This window comes from Homo sapiens, chromosome X (assembly GCF_000001405.40).
Source record: "Homo sapiens chromosome X, GRCh38.p14 Primary Assembly".
NCBI lineage: Eukaryota > Metazoa > Chordata > Mammalia > Primates > Hominidae > Homo > Homo sapiens.
In genome coordinates, this window is record NC_000023.11 from 73103752 (window position 1) to 73107385 (window position 3634).

Below are 3634 nucleotides of genomic sequence, written 5' to 3' on the forward strand. Positions count from 1 at the left end.
TCAAGTTCATATAAACACAGGCATACTTTATTTCATTGTGCTTTGTTTTACTGTGGTTTGCAGATAATGTATTTTTTTTACAAACTTGAGGTTTGTGGCAACCTAGTGTCCAGTAAGTCTATCAGCTCCATTTTTCTAACATATGTTCACTTTGTGTCTCCTTGTCACACTTTGATAACCCTCCCAATATTTCAAACATTTTCATTGCTGTCATGTCTATTATGGTGATATGTGATCAGACATCTTTGATGTTACTATTATAATTGTTTTGGGGCAACACAAACTGCACCCATGTAAGACAGCAGGCTTAACTGATAAATGTTGTGTGTGTTCTGACTGCTCCACCATCTATCCTCTCTCTTTGGGACTCCTTATTCCCTGAGAGACAATATTATTGAAATTAAGCCTACTAATAACCCTACAATGACCTTTAATTGTTCAAGTGAAAGAAAGATTTCCATTCCTCTAAATGTAAATCAAAAGTTAAAAATGAGCTTAGTGGGGAAGGCATATAAAAATCCAGGAGAAGCCAAAAGCTAGGTCTTTTATGCCAAATGGTTAGCCAAGTTGTGAATGTAAAAGATCAATTCTTAAAAAAAAAATAAAAGTGCTACTCTAGTGAGCACATGAATAAAAAAGCAAAACAGCAGTATTGCTGTTATGAAGAAAGTTTTAGTGGTCTGGATAGAAGATCAAACCAGCCACAACATTCCCTTAAGCCAAAGCCTTATCTAGAGCAAGGTCCTAACTCTTTTCAATTCTATGAAGGTTGAGAGAGATAAGGAGGCTGCCGAAGAAATTTTGGAAGCTAGCAGAGTTTGGTTCATGAGGTTTAAGGAAATAAGCCATCTGCATAACATAAAAGTACGAAATGAAGGAGCAAGTGCTGGTGTAGAAGCTACAGCAAATTATCCAGACAATCTAGCTAAAATTATTGATGAAGGTGGCTACACTAAACAGATTTTCAATTTAGGCAAAAGAGCCTTATATTTGAAGAAGATGGCACCTATTACTTTTATAGCTAGAGAGGCGAGGTTAATGCCTAGTTTCAAAACTTCAGTGAACAGGCTAAGTGTCTTGTTAGAAGCTAATGCAGCTGGTGACTTCATGTTGAAATTAATGCTGAAATTTGGAATTGATCATTATCATTCCAAAAATCCTAAGGCCTTGACTTAGTGTGATTTCTGTTGCTTTTAACAGAACACTGGAAACTGGGTAATTTATAAAGAAAAGGAATTTATTTCTTACAGTTATGGAGTCTGAGAAGTCCAAGGTCAAGGAGCCATATCTGGTGAGGGCCTTCTGGTTGTTGGAGACTCTCTGCAGAGTCCCAAGGCAGCATAGGGCATCACAGGGTGAGGGGACTGAGTGTACTGGCTCAAGTCTATGTTTTCTTATAAAGCCATCATTCCCATGCCTATGATAACCCATTAATCTATTAACATATTAGTTCATCAGGGCTCAACCCTCATGACCCTGTCACCTCTTAAAGGCCCCATCTCTCGATATTCCCACATTGGAGATTAAATTCCATGGGTCATATGTCAAAACTTATTCAGTTGTTTACTTTATATGTATCTATTGTTGTACGTCAGTTATACCTCAATAAAGCTTCAAACATGAAAGAAACAATAATGGAATAAAACTCACTGACCTGTAGGCCAATATTGAGTTACTAAACCTACATGTAATTAGTGTTTCTGAAGAAAAAGGGAGTAGGGCGTGGGGAATGGAAAAATATTTGAAGAAATAATGGTTAAAAAATGTTACAAATATGAAGCAAAATGATGATAAACTCACAGCTGCAAGAAGTTCTATGAACTCCAAACAGGAAGCAAAATGAAGGGCTCACCAAGACCTACAATAAACAAATTGCCTAACATACAGAAGTAAAGAAAAATTCTTCAAAGCAGGCTAATAAAAGAAACACATTACAGACAGGGAAAAATAGTAAGAATGACTGAGGTCTTTTATCTGTAAAAATAAAACATCTGACACAATCAGGGAATTGTTACATGAGGTCCAGTTTATTTTTAATGTGGATGTTTGTGCAAATTTTAATCAAAACAATTTATCTGATCTATGTGTGTTATCCTTTTCTGTGAATGTAGAAGTTCCAGAAAAATGTAAAGTGTTTGATCTCATTTTTGACAAAATGGTAAAAAAAAAAAAACAACCCAAAACTCACACAGGAAAATTTCAATATATACAAGCATACCTTGCAGATATTTCAGGTTTTGTTCCAGACCACCACAGTAAAGCAAATATCACAATGAAGTGAATCACACAATTTTTTTGGTTTCCCAGTCCATATAAAAGTTATTATATCTTTATAGTGTACTGTAGTCTATTAACTGCGCAATATAATTATGGCTAAAAAACAGTGTACAAGGAGGAGGAGCCAAGATGGCCGAATAGGAACAGCTCCAGTCTACAGCTCCCAGCGTGAGCGACGCAGAAGACGGGTGATTTCTGCATTTCCATTTGAGGTACCGGGTTCATCTCACTAGGGAGTGCCAGACAGTGGGCGCAGGCCAGTGTGTGTGCGCACCGTGCGCGAGCCGAAGCAGGGCGAGGCATTGCCTCACCTGGGAAGCGCAAGGGGTCAGGGAGTTCCCTTTCCGAGTCAAAGAAAGGGGTGACGGACGCACCTGGAAAATCGGGTCACTCCCACCCGAATATTGCGCTTTTCAGACTGGCTTAAGAAACGGCGCACCACGAGACTATATCCCACACCTGGCTCAGAGGGTCCTACGCCCACGGAATCTCGCTGATTGCTAGCACAGCAGTCTGAGATCAAACTGCAAGGCGGCAACGAGGCTGGGGGAGGGGCGCCCGCCATTGCCCAGGCTTGCTTAGGTAAACAAAGCAGCCGGGAAGCTCGAACTGGGTGGAGCCCACCACAGCTCAAGGAGGCCTGCCTGCCTCTGTAGGCTCCACCTCTGGGGGCAGGGCACAGACAAACAAAAAGACAGCAGTAACCTCTGCAGACTTAAGTGTCCCTGTCTGACAGCTTTGAAGAGAGCAGTGGTTCTCCCAGCACGCAGCTGGAGATCTGAGAACGGGCAGACTGCCTCCTCAAGTGGGTCCCTGACCCCTGACCCCCGAGCAGCCTAACTGGGAGGCACCCCCCAGCAGGGGCACACTGACACCTCACACGGCAGGGTATTCCAACAGACCTGCAGCTGAGGGTCCTGTCTGTTAGAAGGAAAACTAACAACCAGAAAGGACATCTACACCGAAAACCCATCTGTACATCACCATCATCAAAGACCAAAAGTAGATAAAACCACAAAGATGGGGAAAAAACAGAACAGAAAAACTGGAAACTCTAAAACGAAGAGCGCCTCTCCTCCTCCAAAGGAACGCAGTTCCTCACCAGCAACAGAACAAAGCTGGATGGAGAATGATTTTGACGAGCTGAGAGAAGAAGGCTTCAGACGATCAAATTACTCTGAGCTACGGGAGGACATTCAAACCAAAGGCAAAGAAGTTGAAAACTTTGAAAAAAATTTAGAAGAATGTATAACTAGAATAACCAATACAGAGAAGTGCTTAAAGGAGCTGATGGAGCTGAAAACCAAGGCTCGAGAACTACGTGAAGAATGCAGAAGCCTCAGGAGCCGATGCGATC

The 3634-nt window shown here is 41.6% G+C and overlaps 1 annotated feature.

Moving 5' to 3' along the window:
* Positions 2707–3320: an enhancer, noted in NCBI's record as "OCT4-NANOG-H3K27ac-H3K4me1 hESC enhancer chrX:72326297-72326910 (GRCh37/hg19 assembly coordinates)". NCBI's record gives its function as "activates a minimal SCP1, AML or CMV promoter by ChIP-STARR-seq in primed H9 embryonic stem cells {active_cell/tissue: H9 hESC(primed)}" and the evidence as "EXISTENCE:reporter gene assay evidence [ECO:0000049][PMID:30033119]".